The 19,650-nt window shown below is 42.6% G+C and overlaps 2 protein-coding genes across 15 annotated transcripts in view, besides 1 other annotated feature; one reads left to right on the forward strand and one right to left on the reverse strand.

Annotated features, from left to right (window-relative positions):
* The window catches only part of MAP4K5 (mitogen-activated protein kinase kinase kinase kinase 5), a 142,606-nt gene that overhangs the window by 107,996 nt on the left and 14,960 nt on the right, over positions 1 to 19,650 (reverse strand). For 4 of the 13 annotated variants that reach the window (XM_047430895.1, NM_198794.4, XM_047430894.1 and 1 more), the window contains exons 1-2: positions 5,884 to 6,053; positions 5,426 to 5,642 (exon numbers count right to left, since the gene is read on the reverse strand). In XM_047430895.1, the coding sequence (XP_047286851.1) occupies positions 5,426 to 5,533 (108 nt within the window). In that variant the 5' untranslated portion in view covers positions 5,534 to 5,642; positions 5,884 to 6,053. Of the gene's footprint in view, positions 1 to 5,425; positions 5,643 to 5,883; positions 6,054 to 15,982; positions 16,069 to 19,650 lie in introns of those variants that run through there. The other 9 variants (XM_047430896.1, XM_006720013.5, XM_047430891.1 and 6 more) reach the window with 4 other exon arrangements.
* Positions 5,747 to 6,376: a silencer, noted in NCBI's record as "silent region_5723". NCBI's record gives its function as "represses an Ori minimal core promoter by ATAC-STARR-seq in GM12878 lymphoblastoid cells {active_cell/tissue: GM12878}" and the evidence as "EXISTENCE:reporter gene assay evidence [ECO:0000049][PMID:35858748]".
* The window catches only part of ATL1 (atlastin GTPase 1), a 99,987-nt gene continuing 86,902 nt past the window's right edge, over positions 6,566 to 19,650 (forward strand). For both annotated transcript variants that reach the window (XM_047431430.1, NM_001127713.1), the window contains exon 1: positions 6,566 to 6,851. The gene's annotated coding sequence lies outside the window, so the exon portion shown is untranslated. The remainder of the gene's footprint in view (positions 6,852 to 19,650) is intronic.

The raw sequence follows: 19,650 nt of genomic DNA on the forward strand, positions 1-19,650 counted from the left end.
AACTGCTGACCTCAGGTGATCCACCAGCCTTGGCCTCCCAAAGTGCTAGGATTACAGGCGTGAGCCACTGCGCCTGGCCACGTCTGTTTTCTTGACTAAACCATATGTTCCTTATTGACAGTGTACTTCATCTCATGTTTGCATCCCCATATCCTAACACATTGTCAGCACTCAACAAATACTTCTTTAATGAATGAATGCTTCTAGAAGTGTGATGATACATTAAGCTTTGTCTCTATAAAATGGGATCTTGGGATATGTTTCAAAGTGCCTAAAGCCATTCCAGAATGGTGACTCTTGGCTGGAGGAAAAGAAAGTAAAGGCATACATAAAGGAGATTCCCCATAGCAGACCTAATTCATCTAGCATCCAGAGGAACCCACGTTAGTGATAAGACTACATGACAAAGACTTCTACGCAAATTATAACATCATTTATAATTGCAAAAAAAAAAGTTTAAAAACTAGAAATAACAAATATGCAACTTAGAATGATTAACTAAATGAAGGCTCATTCAACGGATCCTTTAAAAATAGTACTTTTGACTGGGTGTGGTGGCTCACCCTGTAATTCCAGCACTTTGGGAGGCCAAGGTGGGCAGATCACGAGGTCAGGAGATTGAGACCATCCTAGTCAACCTGGTGAAACCCCGTCTCTACTAGAAATACAAAAATTAGCTGAGTGTGGTGGCACATGCCTGTAATCCCAGCTACTCAGGAGGCTGAGGCAGGAGAATCACCTGAACCAGGGAGTCAGGAGGTTGCAGTAAGCTGAGATTGCGCCACCGCACTCCAGCCTGGCGACACTGCAAGACTCCGTCTCAAAAAAAAAAGTACTTTTGTATGATTACACCACTGCACTCTAGCCTGGGCAAAAGAGCAAGACCCTGTCATCCAAAAAAAAAAAAAAATGTACTTTTGTAGAATATTTAACGACTAGGGAAAATGCTGGTCATTTCAATCAAACAGAAAAAAGACCTGTATCATATTCCCAATCATAAATTAAATATAAAAGCCATTTTGGAAATACTGATTTAAAAACATTTAGGAAATAAGCCTGAAATAAACTGTATTAAATTATTAGCAGTACCTATCTCTGAGTAATTTTCTACAACTAATTTGTTCAACAAATATTTATTGAGCATTTGTTTGTTACATTACAAAGATGTGCAAGAGACATCTGTTTCTGTCCCCTGGGAACTAAACATGTTATTCTTCTATAATCAATCAGATAAAGCAATAAAGCTTAGAAAAAAATTCATAGGATTGCCCAGTCTAAATTTATATTCTATGAAAGGTAAAATAATAATAATAATAATAATAAATAAATAAATAAAAATAAAAATAAAAAGCCAGATTGCCAGAACTTCTCTGAAATCTAGGCTGGAAGCAATTTTGATACAAATATTTGGATAAGGGCTGCCCAAATGGCTTGTACTACTGATTATGAACTGTATCATGATGCTGTAGTTGTTATAGATCCTTGTGGTCAGAGGTAGTTGAGAATCTAAATCTCCAGATTTATCCTTCCTGCTGGCAGATCTACATTTTTACAGTAATTACAAATAAAAGCTGCTCAGTTGACATTTAATCCTTCATCCACCATCCACCAAATTCCTTTTCTCTTCTGTGTTTCTTTTCCCTCTACCATTTCCTGCTCTTGCCCTCAATGATTCACTCCATTTATCTAAAAGAATCTTTATGTTCCTCCTCTTCTTTCAACCAAAGAACAGCCAATATAAGATTGAACTCTCCCTCTTGGGGATTCTCAGGAAAGATGGAAGCTTCAGAGGGGATCTGTGGTATTGATGAACATAAAAGTAAATTACGAAGAATCTCAAAGCCAGAGTCCTTTAAAGCTTCTGCTTCAAAAGATACCTAAGGTGTAAAAAAAAAAAAAAAAAAAAAGGCAGGGAAAAATCCAGGCTTGGTGGCTCACACCTATTAATCCCAGCCCTTTGGGAGACTGAGGCAGAAGCATCACATGGGGTCAAGAATTTGAGACTAGCTTGGGCAACACAGGAAGACCCTGTCTTTACATTAAAAAAAAAAAAAATTAGCCAGGCATGTTGCCACACACACTTGTAGTCCCAGCTACTGAGGAGGCTGAGGAGAGAGAATCCCTTAAGCCCAGGAGTTCAAGGCTGCAGTGAGCTGATCGTGCCACTGGACTCCAGCCTAAAGCACAAGACCATCTCTCAAAAACACAGGGGGATATTATCTGAGTAGAACAGTGGCTAATTTACCTTCATTATTCTTTACTGCAGGTATTTCACTAGTTTATATCCTACATTGAAAATACTTCTAAAACGTCCTAGGATGTTCAGCTCATCAGAAACACAGTGATAAATAGCAAAATTACTCTAATTGCCCAGAGCTTAAAAAATTCAGCACTACAGTTTCAGGTTATGTGTTTTTAGGCATACTAAGGAGTAAATTTAAACTGACAAAATTCTATAGGACTTAGATCACTGATAGTGGATATACTATAAAATAGTTTTTCAGAAATATTTCCCCAGAGAACTCAAATAGATGAAATTTGTAATAAAAATACACACGCAGGGTATCATTAGACAGCATCACAGGGCCGGATGTGGTGGCTCATGCCTGTAATTTCAATACTTTGGGAGGCCGAGGCAGGCAGATCATTTAAGCTCAGGAGTTCGAGACCAGACTGGGAAACATGGCAAGACCTCCTCTCTACTAAAAAAAAATACAAAAATTAGCCAGACATGGTGGCACACACCTGTAGTGCCAGCTACTTGGGGGGCTGAGGTGGGAGGATCACTTCAGCCCGGGAGGTTGAGGCTTCAATGAACCAAGATCACACCACTGCCCTCTAGCCTGGGGGACAGAGCGACATCCTGTATCCAAACAAACAGACAAACAGAAGGCATTACAGGAATACATAGAGTATTAAATGCTAACTTAGTGCTATGATGTCAAAAGCATGTGCTCAGAGAACTAAGTGACAGAGTCTGATATTCATTCATTCATTCATTCATCAAATTTTTAGGAAGTACTTACTCTGTGGCAGGCATAATCAGAGACAGAGCAGTGAAGAGATTAAAATCCCTGCCATCATGGAGTATTTTAGTGAATCAAGATAGATAATAAACAAGAAAAAAATAAGTAAAACATTATGTTGGTGATAAGTACAAAGCAAAAAATAGAGTAGGAAAAAAAGATCGGGAGGATGTGAAAAAAAGGAGGAAGGGAGCAAGCCATATAGTGGGGGGCGGTGGTGAAGGGGAGACATTACGAAGAGAGGAAATAGCAAGAACAAGGACCCAAAGATGGGGAGATGCTTATCATGTTTAAGGAGCAGCAAGCAGGCCAGTGTGACTAGAGCAGAATGACTAAGGAGAGTGGTAGATGAGGCTGAGAAATAAGAGGGAAGGGCTGTCTTGCCCAGGAGCATTTGGGTAAGGCTTTCATGGACAGGTATTACAGCAACAGGTGGAAATGGAGGGGTGGAAGGTGATTCCAAGTAATTAGAACAAAGGAAAACAAAAGACAAGGAGCTAAGAACGCCTTAAGGATGTTTAGAATCAGAGGCTGGCCTAGTGTGCAATGAATATACATGTAAGTGTGAGGAAGCAACATTGTGAGGGTAGAGGAAGCAACATTGTGAGGGTAGGGGACCATGTGTTAAGGGGTGAAGGTAGAGTATGATGAATATTCGGTTTTTGATTCTGTTTGGGAACTGCAGAAGAGAGACTAGGGCAGGAAGGCACCAGGGTAAAAGGCAGGCATTAGCTGCCCCTTAAATATAATCTTTGCTTTTTCTCAGGCATGAATAAAATCCTGCTCCAGAGTTGCTTTAGTTACTACATCTATGAAGAAAAAGGGTGGAGGTCTTAAGATCTTTATGGGAAAAACACTCCTAAAACTTTATTGTAGTAGGGAGAAGAGAATATATACAAGTAGAATTTATACTATTGTAAATTAACATGAACTAAATTGAACTCGTCTAACACACAGTGAATCATAAGACAAAGATGACTAAAAAATGAGACTGAGAAAGGAAATAGGAATTTCAATTTTCTGAAGAGCATTCCACAAAATGGCTAATCCCTGGATAAACAACTAAGTTAACTACCTCTAATTTTACATAAAGAAGAAGAGGATTGTTACAAACATACACTTTGAGTTCAAAGGTATTCACAAGGTAAGAGCCAGAACCTTGCTCACAATTCATCACCTCAGTACCTCTACCAGTGCCTGGTACAGAAGACTCAAATGCTTGTTTAAGCAATAAAAAGCCTATCCATTACAGTTTATCTCAGTAGAATCAAACAGTGCTAGGGCTGTTTGATAATACCACTACCTTGAAATGCTAATATTAATTAGGAGGAAATTAAAAGTAAGTAGAAAGAGGGGAACCACCTGTGCAAAACAACAACCTAACCCCAGAGGAATCTACTGGTTAATTACCCAAATGACACAAAACCACTTCAGCGATATGCAGAAGTGTTGTTTGGCACAATGCGATATATATCATGATCAAATCCAATAAACAACGCCGTTGCAAAAAGCAAAGGAATTTGCCCTTAATATTCATAGGCTGCACTAATGCTCCCTTTTTGGAACACACAACAAAAAGCATAAGGCAATCTCAATCTCTTTCCTCTGAACCATTCAAGAACTCAGCGGATTTGGGGAATTGGGTTTGCTTCTCTACAATGTTTTTTAAAATCCTAAATTAGGTGTAACTTACTCTCATCGTTTGTCTTAAGTAATACAAAACAGCACAATACAAAGACAGCGGCTCATATCCACTCTTGGTTATAGGATGTTATAAATCCCTGAAAGGAACCGCTAAAGTAAAACAAAACCCAGCAAGTTAATATCACATTTTTATCGCCAACCAAAAACAAACGATCAAACTTCCACCAGGAAAAGCATCTTTTTATATGGGATAATGCTTGCATAAATGTCACCAATATTAGTTTGCTTACAGTTAAAGCTCAGAGACAGGGTTTCATATGGCTTTTTTAGTCAAACTCATCCATTGAAACAAATTTTTTTAAAAAAATGCAAATGTCTGAATGTCAATATTCTTTCCTGTCTATCTTCCATGAAGCATTTTTCCATGCTAACACTAGAGCATCCTTCGGTGTAATTCCACAAGCAGATTCAAATTCCCTTCAATACCATAAATAAGCCCTATTAAAAAGCCTTTAAACCACAAAAAAAGTGCAACAGCGGTTTGCAACTGTGTGGTTAGTTCTGCCTGTTGGTAGCGATTAGAACAAGCCATGAGTCGAGGGTGCTCAGAACCGAGTAAAAGGGACCCCGGCCGCTTTCTCCCCAAGAGGCAACAATAAAAGCATCCTCCTCTCGCCCCAATACTTCGCAGGAAAGTGGCCCCATTCCCGGGACCCAGTCGACCGCAGGAAAAAAGCACGGCCAGCCTCACTTACCTTATAGACGTCCCCGTAGGTGCCGCTGCCGACCCTCTGGACGAGTTCGTAGTCCTGCTGCGGGTTCCGCCTCAGGATGTCCGCGGCAGGCCGCAGCGGGGCCTCCATCTTCACTTAGGGCCCGGCCCCCGCCAGCTCACCCCGCGGCTCCCGGATTCCCGCTAACAAGCACGAACGGCGCCGCTTCCCAACATGGAGCCTCCGCCCGCAGCTCCGTCTGCACGAGGGACGAGCAAAGGCTGGTTGGCGTCGCAGGCTACGACCCCCAGCGGCCCGCGCCCTCGCGGCCCGGCCCCTTCCCTTCCGTCCCGCCAGGGGCCGTGGAAGAGAAAGGGGCCTGGAAGGGCCCCCGGCGCCCCGTATCCCCGTTCGGTCTGCGGCCCTTCCCCCTCCCCGGCCGCCCGCGAACTGCCCGACGAGGCCTCCCCGCCAGCCGGGGCCCAGGGCCGGCTCCGTACCTAATGGGGGCGGCCCCGTCTTTGTTGAGCGCGGAGCCCGGGACCTACTTCCTAGACCGCACCCGCGTCCTCCTCCCGCGCGCCGGCCGGCAGCTCCGGGTTTGCCGTCGCCGCCGCCGCCACTCAGCCGCTGCACGGCGCGTCCTCTCGGGGGCGGCGGAGGCGCGTACAGTCGCCGCCGCCGCCGCCGCCGCACCACGTTCCCCACCCGGGGCTGCGTCACCGGGAGACACGTTCCCAGCCAGCATGGGTCGGCGCCCAGCGGCCCGCCCGAGCACTCCGGCCGCAGAACCAGAGTGCCGCCCTGAGGCCTGCTGAGAACACAACACCCTCCCGACCGCGCCACCGCGCCCCCCTAGCCGGGCGCGTCCTTGCAGGGCCTGGGCTGTCTCCCTCCCACTCTCAGAAATAAGGCACACGCCTGGGCATTCGTGGGCCAACGGGCCTTGGCTAAACCGTCCCCACATTTGTCAGGTAGGCCTGTAGGGTGACGGGTAGAGGAAGAAGGGCGATGGGAACGTAGCCCTCCAAGTTAAACACGGAAAAGGTACGTTAAGGGCACCGGGCCAGAAGTAACCTGGCAGCGGGGCGCCGGGGAAGGAGGTGGGGGAGTGCCAGGTTAACTAAGTCCCGGCACACCCTACTGCACCTTCCTGTTTTGCAAACCGATCCCGGTGGTACCAGTTTGAGGCTGCACTGCACACCTGCACAACCTGCCTTCTACTTAGTTCTTCTGAGACATTTCTGAAAGTCTGAATTCCTAGGACTGCTCAATGACCTTTGTCCCTGTTGGGCACACGCAGTGTCTCATCGCTGGTATTGCACCTTTAATGAGACCAGGAGTTCCGCAAAAGTAAAACAAAGGGGTCACAGACTGGTTCTGGTTCTACCACTTCCTCAGTATGTGCTCTGGGACAAAACAGCATATTTGGCAACATCTCGGTGTCCTTATCTGCAGCTTGAAGAGGGTAAGATTTTGCATCTGACACCCAGGAAAGTGTTTATAAAGCGTTTTACAGGATAGTAAGGGGGGTTATCGAATATAAGAGGTCTTAAAATACTTAACAATGCACAGCATATATGGAACAGGAGTTCGGGGAAGTAATTTGGCTGATATTTCACAAGCTGTTTTGCAGTTTCAGTTCCAGTCTTGCTCTGAAGGTAGAAATTAAGTTGCCAGTGTTACATTATACTGGCTAAGTTATTTCTAGAGCCTCATAGAGAATTTGAACAGAAAAGCCAGATAACACTCAGCCACTGCATTTAGTGACTGAAACATCATAAAAGAGCAAGTTGGAGATGTTGGCTTGTGGCTTTGAACATCCAATTTTTAATTCTGCTCTTGAGAATTAAAATACTCCTTATTGTTGATAATTGTATAATGTATAATAAGGAGTAATTGACAATACTCCTTATTGTTGATAATTGTATAATGTAGAAATTAAATTCGCACCTTAACAGGACAGGGCATATATGTATTTTCTTGTGCTCCACACACAAAGGGCACTTATTTGGGGAACATAAGTAAGCCCAGACTTACATGCTCCATGGACAAAGCCTATGTGTTTGCTGCATTGAAAAAATTGTTGAAGAACAGTTCCTTCTTTCAAAGATTCTTGGCACTTGTTTTGGTGGGCACATACTTTTGGCTTCGATGACTCAAAATCTCTTCAAATGTTCTATTGGTATCTTAGCACTTGTTTACTGTCATAGATTCATTTGAGATTTTTTTCCTCTGGCCATATAAGCACTGATCCTTTATCTAGTCTGAAATATATTTATTCTTACATGTTTACACTTGCGTTACTCCAGGGAATTTCAGGCAGCACACAGAAAACACTTACTATAAAACAAGATAAAAATAAGTGGGCAAACTAGTATGACGTTAAAGAGAAGGAAAATACGAAACCAGAACAGTGTGACAAATCGGCCAACCAGAGGATTTTATAGTGTTTTTGAGATCAAGAGTAACCAATTGATCAAGAAGAGGCATATATTTTCCTAATGCAAAGACTTCCAAAAATTTTATTTAATGAGCCTTCTTCATAAAGTAGAAACTGAATGCCCAGTTTGAGACGAGGACAAATATCCTGACAATCCTTTAAGCATGTTATTCTTGAAATACAGCATTTAAAATGAATTAGGCAGTGAAATGTTTGAGGTCATAGGCTTCAACAAGACCCTGGAGTGCGGATATTTTATGTTGCCAGTAATGGCAGATCCATATGCTTTGACCATCAACCTAGAGGCAGATAGCATGGAAAAAGTCAAGACTCTATGTGGTGGTTAAAAAGTCGAGACTCTATGTGTCTGCTATAATCATTATTTTACTTGTACTGCAATTCATGCAAAGAGGAAAACATTTGTTTTATACTAACTCCAAAAGAATCTTAAGGATTTTTAAAATACTGGTTGAGTTAATTTTAACAAGATCAGTGAAGTGGGTTGCTTTGTAAAGAAATGCAAATTCAATTTACTTAAATGTACACTGAGTAAATTTAATTTTACATCCTAGACAATTAAGCAAACAATTTCAAGGTTGAAGTTTATGTAATAATATGTTAGTTATGTCATGGTAACTGACCAGAGAGTTTCTTACAAACCACCCAGTTTCATATGACAAGGTATGGAATAAGAATAAATATGGCTTGATAGGTCCTTCATTCCAACCTAATTGTCATGCATTCTTAGTATCTTCATGCTGACACATAAATATTTTTCAGCTTTTACCCTTATCATTATAATATACGATAATGGTTTGCCACATGCTTTGTAATGTACTTCCCTTCTTTGAAAGTTCTTCAGTAAAATGCTGACTGTAATCTGTGGCCTCTAATTTCAGCTCTAACTTTAGCCAAGGCTGAATAAAAAAGAATTGGGAGACATAAAATGCTTTATCTTATATAAAGCTAAGGTTCACAATTTATTATCCAAGACAAAATGGCTAATTAAACCTTCAAGTGTGAAAGGACAGAGCATAAGGACAATAACTTTAGTCTATTGAACATACAGATTTAAGCAATCTGGTAATCTCCTGATTAATCTGCCAACATAAACTAATTTCAACATGTAACTCTATGATTCAGTTGACTGCTCTATAGATCTGTTAAACAGAAATCAATTAAATGTTGGAAGACATTGCCACAATTATGATTTGGATTTTTAAATAATTATTATTAAACTATTGTTTTACTAATTAGGGCCACTTGTCTTTTGAGGCATAAACCATGTTTTCCAAATATAGGGCAATTTTTATATAATTTGTTCTGGATGGCAATAGAACATGTATCTCATTCAGGATTAGTATCAGGTCATTAGGATGAGAGTTTTAAAAAGGAGAGGTGAGGAAGGCAGTCGATATCCCTTTCATCCAGTTTGAATTGATCATCAGATATGTTACTGATATGGTTTGTCTGTGTCCCCACCCAAATCTCATCTTGAATTCCCACGTGTTGTGGGAGGGACCAGGTAGGAGGTAATGAATCATGAGGGCAAGTCTTTCCCATGCTGTTTTCATGATAGTGAATAACTCTCACGAGACCTGATGGTTTTAAAAAGAGGAGTTCCCCTGCACAAGCTCCCTCTCTTTGCCTGCTGCCATCGTGTGAGACATGACTTGCTCTTCCTTGCCCTCTGCCATGATTGTGAGGCTTCGCAGCCACATGGAACTGTAAGTCCAATTAAACCTCTTTCTTTTGTAGATTGCCCGGTCTCAGGTTTGTCTTTATCAGCAGCATGAAAACAGACTAATACATTAAATTGAGGTCTGGCGCCATGGCCCATGCCTGTAATCCCAGCACTTTGGGAGGCCAAGGTGGGCGGATCATCTGAGGTCGGGAGTTTGAGACCAGCCTGACCAAAACCCCATCTCTGCTAAAACTACAAAATTAGCCAGGCATGGTGGTACATGCCTGTAATCCCAGCTACTTGGGAGGCTGAGGCAGGAGAATCGCTTGAACCCAGGAAGTAGAGGTTGTGGTGAGCCAAGATTGCACCATTGCACTCCAGCCTGGGCAACAAGAGCAAAACTCTGTCTCAAAAAAAAAAAAAAAAAAAAATTGTTACCAGTAGAGTGAGATGTTGCTGAAAAGTTACCTGAAAATATGGAAGCAACTTTGGAACTGGGTAACAGGCAGAGGTTGGAAGAGTTTGGAGAGCTCAGAAGAAGACAGGAAAATGTGGGAAAGTTTGGAACTTCCTAGAGGCTTGTTGAATGGCTTTGACAAAAATGCTAATAGTGATATAACAATAAAGTCCAGGCTGAGGTAGTCTCAAATGGAGATGAGGAACTTGTTGGAACTGGAGCAAAGGTGACTTTTGTTATGTTTTAGCAAAGACACTGGTGGCATTTTGCCCCTGCCCTAGAGGTTTGTGGAACTTTGAACTTGAGAGAGAAGATTTAGGGTATCTGGCAGAAGAAATTTCTAAGCAGCAAAGCATTCAAGAGGTGGCTAGGGTGTTGTTAAAAGCATTCAGTCTTATAAGGGAAGCACAGCATAAAAGTTTGGAAAATTTGCAGCCTGACAATACAATGGAAAAGAAAATCCCATTTTCTGAGGAAAAATTCAAGCAGGCTGCAGAAATTTGCATAAGTAACGAAAAGCTGAATATTAATTCCAAAGACAATGGGGAAAATGCCTTCAGGGCGTGTCAGAGGTCTTCATGGCAGACCTTCCCATCACAGGCCAGGAGACCTAGGAGGAAAAAGTGGTTTCGTTGGCTAGGCCCAGGGTCCCTGTGCTGTGTGCAGCCTAGAGACTTGGTGCCCTGCTTTCCAGCTGCTCCAGCTGCAGCTGAAAGGGGCCAACATAGAGCTGGGGCCGTGGCTTCAGAGGGTGCAAGCCTCCAGCCTTGGCAGCTTCCACGTGGTGTTGAGCCTTCTAGTACACAGAAGTCAAGAATTGAGGTTTGGGAATCTTTGCCTAGATTTCAGATGATGTATGGAAATGCCTGGATGTCCAGGCAGAAGTTTTCTGCAGGGGTAGTGCCCTCACGGAGAACCTCTGCTAGGGTGGTGCGAAAGGGAAATGTGGGGTCAGAGCCCCCAGACAGAGTTCCTACTGAGGTACTGCCTAGTGGAGCTGTGAGAAGAGGGCCACTGTCCTCCAGATCACAGAATGGTGGATCCACTGACAGCTTGCACCGTGCACCTGGAAAAGCTGCAGACACTCAACATGGCTTTCCCATGAAAGCAGCCAGAGGGAGGCTGTACCCTGCAAAGCCACAGGGGCAGAGCTGCCCAAGACCATGGGAACCAACCTCTTGCATCAGCATGACTTAGATGTGAGACATGGAGTCAAAGGAGATCATTTTGGATCTTTAAGATATGACTGCCCCACTTGATTTCAGACTTGCAGGGGGCCTGTAGCCCCTTTGTTTTGGCCCATTTCTCCCATTTTGAATGGCTGTAGTTACCCAATGCCTGTACTCCCAGTGTATCTAGGAAGTAACTAACCTGCTTTTGATTTTACAGGCTCATTGGTGGAAGGGACTTGCCTTTGTCTCAGATGAGATGTTGGACTGTGGACTTTTGAGTTAATGCTGAAATGAGTTAACACTTTGGGGGACTGTTGGGAAGGCATGATTGGTTTTGAAACGTGAGGACATGAGATTTGGGAGGGGCCGGGGGCAGAATGGTATGGTTTGGCTGTGTGCCCACCCACATCTCATCTTGAATTCCCACGTGAGAGAGGGACCTGGTGGGAGGTAATTGAATCATGGGGGCAAATCTTTCCTGTCATGTTCTCGTGATAGTGAATAAGTCTCATGAGATCTGATGGTTTTAAAAAGGGGTGTTCCCCTGCATGAGCCCTCCCTTTGCCTATTGCCATCCATGTAGGATGTGACTTGCTCCTCCTTGCCTTCTGCCACAATTGTGAGGCTTTCCCTGCCACATAGAACTGTAAATCCAATTAAACCTCTTCCTTTTGTAAATTGCCCAGTCTTGGGTACGTCTTTATCAGCAGTGTGAAAATGGACTAATACAGTTAAAAAGCTGTTTCTGTTAACCTTTATCGTCAGAGTGGTTTTAAGGTTTATGTGAAAATTGGTAGAAGGATTTCTGTATTCAACTCACAAATTGATTTTGTCTGCAAATTCAATAGCTAAGAAAAGATAGCAGATTACAAATAATCTTACACTGTTCCTTATTGGTTTCCTCACGCAATAACAGGTATGTTCAAAAGGGTGCCCAAAGTTTGCCCACACCTCATGTAGACTAGTGTTATGAGCAGAAAAAGCTACAATGCTTGGCTGGGATCCTATCTTACAGCTGCATAGCTCTTGCAGGATTCCAGTAAGTTCTCCTTTTCTTTGTCTCTGCAGAGCAAGGATAATAATGGCTTTCCACTGTTGCTAATCTCAGGATTCCTCACTATCTATTGGTGATTCGCTTAACCCTGTCATCTAATCATTTATTTATTTATTAGAGATGGGTTCTTGCTCTGTTGCCCAGGCTAGAATGCAGTGGCTATTAACAAGTGCTATCATACTGTACCACAGCCTCAAACTCCTGGCCTCAAGCAATCGACCTACCTCAGCCTCCCAAGTAGCTGGGACTATGGGTGCGCACCACTGTGCCCAGCTTTTATTTTTATAAATGGTCCTTTTATTATATTCTCTTTCTGTGCTTTTTCTTCCCAGAAACCCGATTGATAAAGTTATAGGGATTAGAATTAGTCTCAGAAAAGAGACTCTCAAAATGGCTTTCTAGGATGATATCACTCACATATCTGATGATTACTTGTATAAACTACTTGCCAAGGAAAATGGAACAGTGGTATCCTGTAGCATGGAGTGGCATCACAATTACTCAAACTATCAGCAGTGACATGAAATGGAGTGTCAGTGTAGGGCACAACATTGAAAGATCAATCTCTAGCACTTAGCTGCTGTAACAGTGAGGTTTACTAAAATTATTGTGTCATTTGGCTCTTCTGACTGCTTCTGTGAGAGTACATGAAAACAAGACAAATAGCTTTGGGTTCCAAATACCAGGCATGAATAGAAAATCAGAAAACTTCCTTGACAGCTTTGAAGAAATCCATTATCTCTCATAGCTAAGGGGAAGATATGGCTGAGGACCAAGTCCAGGGCCTGACTATAAAGGCTTTGGAGTTGCAATGTTAATTAAACGTGAGACCCAGTTCTGTTATGCTAAAGTAAGGGCACTGGTGGAGATGGCCTAGAACCTATGACATGGGATGGGGGCATTTGAGCAGATATGAATGAGGCTTAGAACTTTAAACATGAGTTAGAAGAAAGAGTTTCAGTATAGCCCTAATGGGGAAGTACACAGAATGCTCTTGGAGGAGAGCTTATACAATGAAGAAGTTGTAGGATCTTGCTAAATACTTACCTGGGATTCAGATTTGCTCTGTTGACTTGAGCATCTGGAAGTCCTTCTAAGTGGGTTACTAGAAGCTTGTTCTCAATAATAGCTTACAATCTATGTGCTGAGATGCCAGAATTTCCCTGGCATACTGTAGAAGAAAGAATCTCAAGGTTTAGGGAGATGGGATGTTGGATTTGCTCTGTTATAGTCATTCTGCTTAGTCAAACTCTATTCATACCATGCCCAGGAGGGCCCATACAATTTACTCTTTTCAAGGCATTGAATGAGGGAGAACAGATATCCTCGAAAGATTCTTCTGTGGCTGCCCTCAGTGGATTAGAGATGATGATTGGGAGCCCACATTGAAACTGGGATCCATGATTTTATATCCTGGTAGAGGTCAGGTGGCTCAACTGTCAAAGACATGTTTAGCACAGTTACTATAATAACCTTCAGGAAGAAGTGAAATCAGGATGTTTTGATTGCAAGGATAGGTGGTGCTATCCTATTATTAATCCCTGAGTCTCTAGGAATGAATAAAACCATCAGCGTACTTAAGTGCCATTTGACATATGTAGGTGGAAAAATCCTGGGACTGATTGGTAGAAACCTAACTGAAATCTCTGTAACAGAGATTCAAGACATATTACCTGAATCTTAGACATAAACCAATTCACAAACCTGGAGTCCCTTAATTAAGGGTGAGGGCGGATGTCTTTGAGGGAGAGTCCCATAGTGCAGCCAGGTATAAACGGTGACTTTTCCCCAAGGCCATTTCCAGAGGTACTTGTAGCCTTTTACCAGGGTGATTGTGAGCTAAGGAATGGGTGATTCTCATACATTCTGGAGGTTAATTGATATTAGCTCTAAATAATAATCTCTGCAGTCTCAAAATACCGCCAAAATTCCAGTGATTAAAGTAGAGATTTAAGAAAGTCAAGTGGGACTAAAGATCCACTCTGGAGTTATTTTTCCAGTCCCAAAATATATGTGAGTATAGATATATTGAGTAGCAGAATTCCTACATTAGGTTTCTAGGGAGCTATTATGATAGGTAGGAACAAGTGTAACCTCCCTAGCTAACTTCTTACCCATGCCAAAGTAGAATACCAAGATTAAATTTGATCTCCAGGGAAATTACAGAGATTAGTGCCACCATTAAAGATATGAAAGATACAAGTCTTTTCCTTTTAACTCCTCTTGGCTTGTGCAATAGCCAAATTAGTTTTGGAGAATGTGGATTATTAAAAATTTAATCAAATGTTGATGCTAGTCATAGTTGTGGTTCCACATATGGGGGATCTTTACTAGAGCAAATCAGAACAGCTCTTGGCACCTAGAAGGTAGCTATTGACTTGAAAACTAGAAAGTAGCTTTCTTTTCAATTCCCGTCAGCAAAAATAATCAGAAGCAGTTTGCTTTCACATGATTGCAACAGCACTGTCATTGTACTACCTCAGGGATATTTAAAGACTTCTGTTCTATGATAGAGTATCATTCCAGAGGGACCTTTGTTTCCTTGATATCCAGTAGAATATCATGGTAGTCTTTTATCTTGATAACATTATGCAAATTGCACCTTGTGAGCAGGAAGTAGCAACCACCCTACATACTTTAAAAAATACCACTAATACCAGAGAACGAGAGATAAACCCAGTTCAGGAACCTGACACATTAGTGACATTTCTAACAAGGAAGTAGTGCTCTACCTTGTATCATCCACCTTAAAGATGCACAGTGTTTGTTTGGCCTGTTTGTATTTTGAGACAATGTACTGCATTTGCTACTCTTTGACCCATGTAACCTGTATGACTGCCACCTTGTTCATATCACTTGGAACTACATAATGTACTACAGAGAAGGCTATGATGCAAGCTGCCCTGACACTTAGGCTTTAGGATTCAGCAGACCCAATGGTAAACAGGAAACTGTATGGAGTCTCTTGCAACCCCAGTAGGAGAATCCCAATGCAGACCCCTAGGATTTTGGTATAAGAATATGCTGTTGGCCAGGCGCGGTGGCTCACGCCTGTAATCCCAGCATTTAGGGAGGCCGAGGCAGGAGGATCACGAGGTCAGGAGATTGAGATCACGGTGAAACCCCATCTCTCTAAAAATACAAAAAATTAGCTGGGTGCGGTGGCGAGTGCCTGTAGTCCCAGCTACTTGGGAAGCTGAGGCAGGAGAATGGCATGAACCCAGGAGGCAGAGCTTGTAGTGAGCCGAGATCGCGCCACTGCACTCCAGCCTGGGCGACAGAGCGAGATTCCGTCTCAAAAAAAAAAAAAAAAAAAAAAAAAAAAAAAAAAAAAAAAAAGAATATGCTGTTATCTGCTGACAGCTATTGTCTGTTTGAAAGGCAACTCTTGATTTACTTCTAGGTCTTAGTAGAGGCTAGACTCCTGACCACAGGATACTAAGTAACTATGTGACATTAACTGCTCTTTAGAAATTGGGAGTTACCCTGCATGTTCTCACTCATAAGTGAGAGTTGAACAATGAGAACACGTGGACACAGGGAGGGGAACATCACACACCGGGGGCCTGTGGTGTCGGGGGGAGGGGGTTGGGGGCAAGGGGAGAGAGAGCACTAGGACAAATACCTAATGCATACGGGACTTAAAACCTAAATGACAGGTTGATAGGTGCAGCAAACTACCATGGCATATGTATACCTGTGTAACAAACCTGCACATTCTGTACAGGTATCCCAGAACTTAAAGTAAAATTAAAAAAATAAAAGAAAATAAAAGAAATTGGATGTTACCTAATTTACTGGATCGTAAGTTGAACATGGGCAGCAGAATTCCGTTGTCAAATGGAAGAGTATACACTGAGGTGGCCTGAGATGATCTGGAAGACACAAGTAAATCATATGGAACAAATGTCCATTGGACCTGCCCTTACTTCTTTGCCACCTGTTTTTTTTTCAACCCATTATCTATAGGCTCATAGCCATTTAGCAGGGGAAGAAAAAGTTTAGGCTTGGTTTATTAATGGTCTGCATAATATGCTAGCACCAACTTGAAGCAGAGAGCCACAGAATTCTGTGCCCACACCATAATGGGGTGGCCCTGAAAGATAGGAGGAGAAATTCTCCCAGTGGATATAACTTTGAACAATACATCTGGTTGTCCTCTTTTTTAGGAAGAAGAGCTGATCTGAGGTATGGATCTGTACTGATTCATGCACAGTAGCTAATAGGTTGGTCAATTACTTGGAAGGAAGAAGATTTGAGATAAGGAAGTCAGTGGGAGAAGTATTATGGATGGATTCTTAAAATTGCCCAGAATGTGAAAATAACTGTGAACTACAATACTGCCCAGCAGAGGGCATCCATCTCGATAGTTATACAAGAAGATCTGTTCTCCAGGTGTCAATCAGCCTCTTTACACAGTCACTCTAGTGCTTGCTCAGTGTGCCTACGTGACAATAGGAATGTAAGCTAACATTAGATTCAACAATGTAGACTTCTACTTGCCAAGGATAATTCAGTTACTGCCACTATGGAGTGATTAATCTGCTTATAGCAGAGGCCATTGCAGAGATCCCAGTATGATACTGTTCCCTTGACAGATAAGTCAACCATCTGGTGGCAGTTTAATTTCACTAGATTCCTTTCATTATAGAGGGAAGAGTGACCTGTCATCATGGGAATAGATACATATTCTAGGTAGAGGTTTACCTTCCCTGCTTGGAAAGCTTCTATTAGTGCCACAATTCATGGGCTTATGGAATGCCTTGTTTTATCACCATGTATCACAAATATCTTTGAGCAAGAAAGTAATTTTATTATGAGAGAAGTGTGGCAGCAGAGTCATGCCCATGGAATTAACTGATCTTACCCATCACTCAGGAACAGCTAGTTTGATAGGATAGAGGAAAGTATGCAGAAGGATCAATCGTGGTGCTGGCTGAGAGAAAACCCCTGTAAGGATGTAGTATAGGACTCAACCCAGTCACCATTATATGTTGTCATCTACTCAATATTCAGAATGCATGGGCCTGTGAACCAAGAGGCAGAGGTAGGAGTGGCTCTTCTATTATTCCTAATAACTCTCTTGAAAGTTTTTTTCTCTACAACTTTGTCTCTATTATATTGTCCCTATAGGATTGGACTTGGTGAGTTTGGAGGCCCTAGTGCCCAAGGGATTGATACTTTCCCCAGATGACATGGTCACAATTCTATTTAACGGGAAGCTGAAACTGCCATCTGGCTATTTTGGAGTCTTCAGATCACTAAATCAACAGTTAGAGAAGGGGGTCATTGTACTGGTTGGGGTGATTGATTCTAACTACCATGGGGAAATTGGTTATTGCTCCGCAAAGGAAACAAGGAAGACTATGTCTGGAATCCCAGGTATTCACTAGGGTGTCTCTTAGTATTCACATCTCTAATATTACTGGACAGTGGGAAACTGAAGCAACCCAATGAAGATGAGAGCACTAAGGACTTGGATCCTCTGAGACTAAGGTTGGGTGACCCCACCAGATGAGGTATGAGTTAAGGGTTATGGGAAAGTGGAAGCCATGATGATCACTTTGGCCCTTGGGCCCAATAACTACCCTCTTTTCTCTGTCCTTACTATCAGAACCACAATTTTGTTGACCTCTTCCAAGTGGCTATGTCCATCAGGGGAGACTGAGACACTCCCCCGTCTTAGGGAATAAATCTTGATTGGTCTAGCCTCATTTTTCTTATTAAAGGAATGGTTTAGGCTTGGACAATTCTGGACAATGACACAGGAGGAAAAGTCTGCTGGAGTGCTTCTAGGAAGGTTTTCCTTGCTATTAACAGGGTACACAAGACACAGACATGACTTATTCTGTCTCTAGGCATGGATGTCTGCTTCTGATGTGACTAGAATGGCAACTGCCATTTTGAAAACATAAGAGGAGCCAGCATTAGAAAATAAGGTGGCTGGGCGATGGTGGCTCACACTTGTAATCTCAGAGCTTTGGGAGGCTGAGGTGGGAGGATTGCTTGAGCTCGGGAGTTTGAGACCAGCCTGGGGAACATAGTGAGAACTCATCTCTACTGAAAGTTGGGAAAAAATTAGCCAGGCATGGTGGCATGACGCTATAAATGCAGCTACTCAGAAGGCTGAAGCAGGAGGATTGCATGAGCCTGGGAGATGGATGCTGCAATGAGCTATGATTGTACCACTGCACTCCAGCCTGAGTGACAGAGTGAGACCCACTCTCAAAAAAAAAAAAAAAAAAAAAAAAAAGAAGCCAACTATAATGTAACAGGTCCCTCACCAGATTACTGAAGGGTGTGTGTCCACTGCTTGAACTCGGAAGGCCAGGCTGTGAGCCAAGGCCATGATGTCCAGCCAAGGAACAGGTGTTTCTGAGAACCCAAACATCATGGAGAGTATCTGGGAACCTACTAAGAAAAACAGTCTCATTGCTCAAACACAGTAGGCAAAGAGCCAGAAAATTAAAGGCAGTTTAGAGATGGAAAGTAGCACAGGTCTCTAGAGCTGTCCTGCTGCTGCTCAGGAGCGCCCTGTATGTAAGTCCTAATAAACTCATCTACTTGCCAATCTGAACTGTCTGAGTCACGTTTTGGTCTCAGCTCCCTCCCAGTTTGGGAGACCATTATTCTATAAAATCCTGGGCTTTTCTTATAACAATTGGCATCACAAACAGGATCTAAGAGACCAAAGGGAGATTCAGGAAGGGGTGTCTGCAGTGGGAATCCCAGGGTGGTCGACGGCATCCATGTGGGGTGAAATAGTCCAACTGCTCAACCTTTGTGGGCTGCTGCTTGAGTACAGGGATGCTTAGAAAATTCCAGTGGGGAGTAAGCATGTAGTGCAAGGACCTAAGATGTTAAAGTACAATAAGAATAGCAGATGTGCTGTTGCTGTGGTAAGACTGGCTACTGAGAAATTGTTAAAGCAGGAAAAATAGATACAAAAGTTAAGGGAGGAGCTGCAGTTAGAAAGGCACATGCGAGTATCCATGTCGGCCCTGGTTGGGGATTTGGTGGAGAAGGTAGATAAAAGGGAGGAAGGGTTGGAACTCCTGTAGCTTATGTTTCCAAAAACATGGGGAAGTTCAAAGGCATGCCAGGTTTTCTAGGACGCCAGCTGGTTACATATTATGACTCATCCTTGTGCACCTTTTTAAACTGATGGCCAAATTACAGCAAGAAAAATCCAGAGCTCAAATGTTTCACCTTCAGCTATAGTTCATCAGATCTTCTGAAGCTCTCTATTTCTCTCTTTTCTTTTCTGCCTGCTTTGAATCTGTTGTTATTAAACTACTGGTGTTGAAATCAAACTCACTGTTTATGGTACTGCTAATTCAAAGCCACTTGGGGATTTTGTTTTTCTTACACAGGTCAGACAATTCTAACTAAAATGTAAATGTTAGAAACTCATTTGAAACTGAAGAAAAAAAAGAGGGTAAAAGAAGTTTTTTAAA

The sequence above is a fragment of the Homo sapiens genome, chromosome 14 (assembly GCF_000001405.40).
Source record: "Homo sapiens chromosome 14, GRCh38.p14 Primary Assembly".
NCBI lineage: Eukaryota > Metazoa > Chordata > Mammalia > Primates > Hominidae > Homo > Homo sapiens.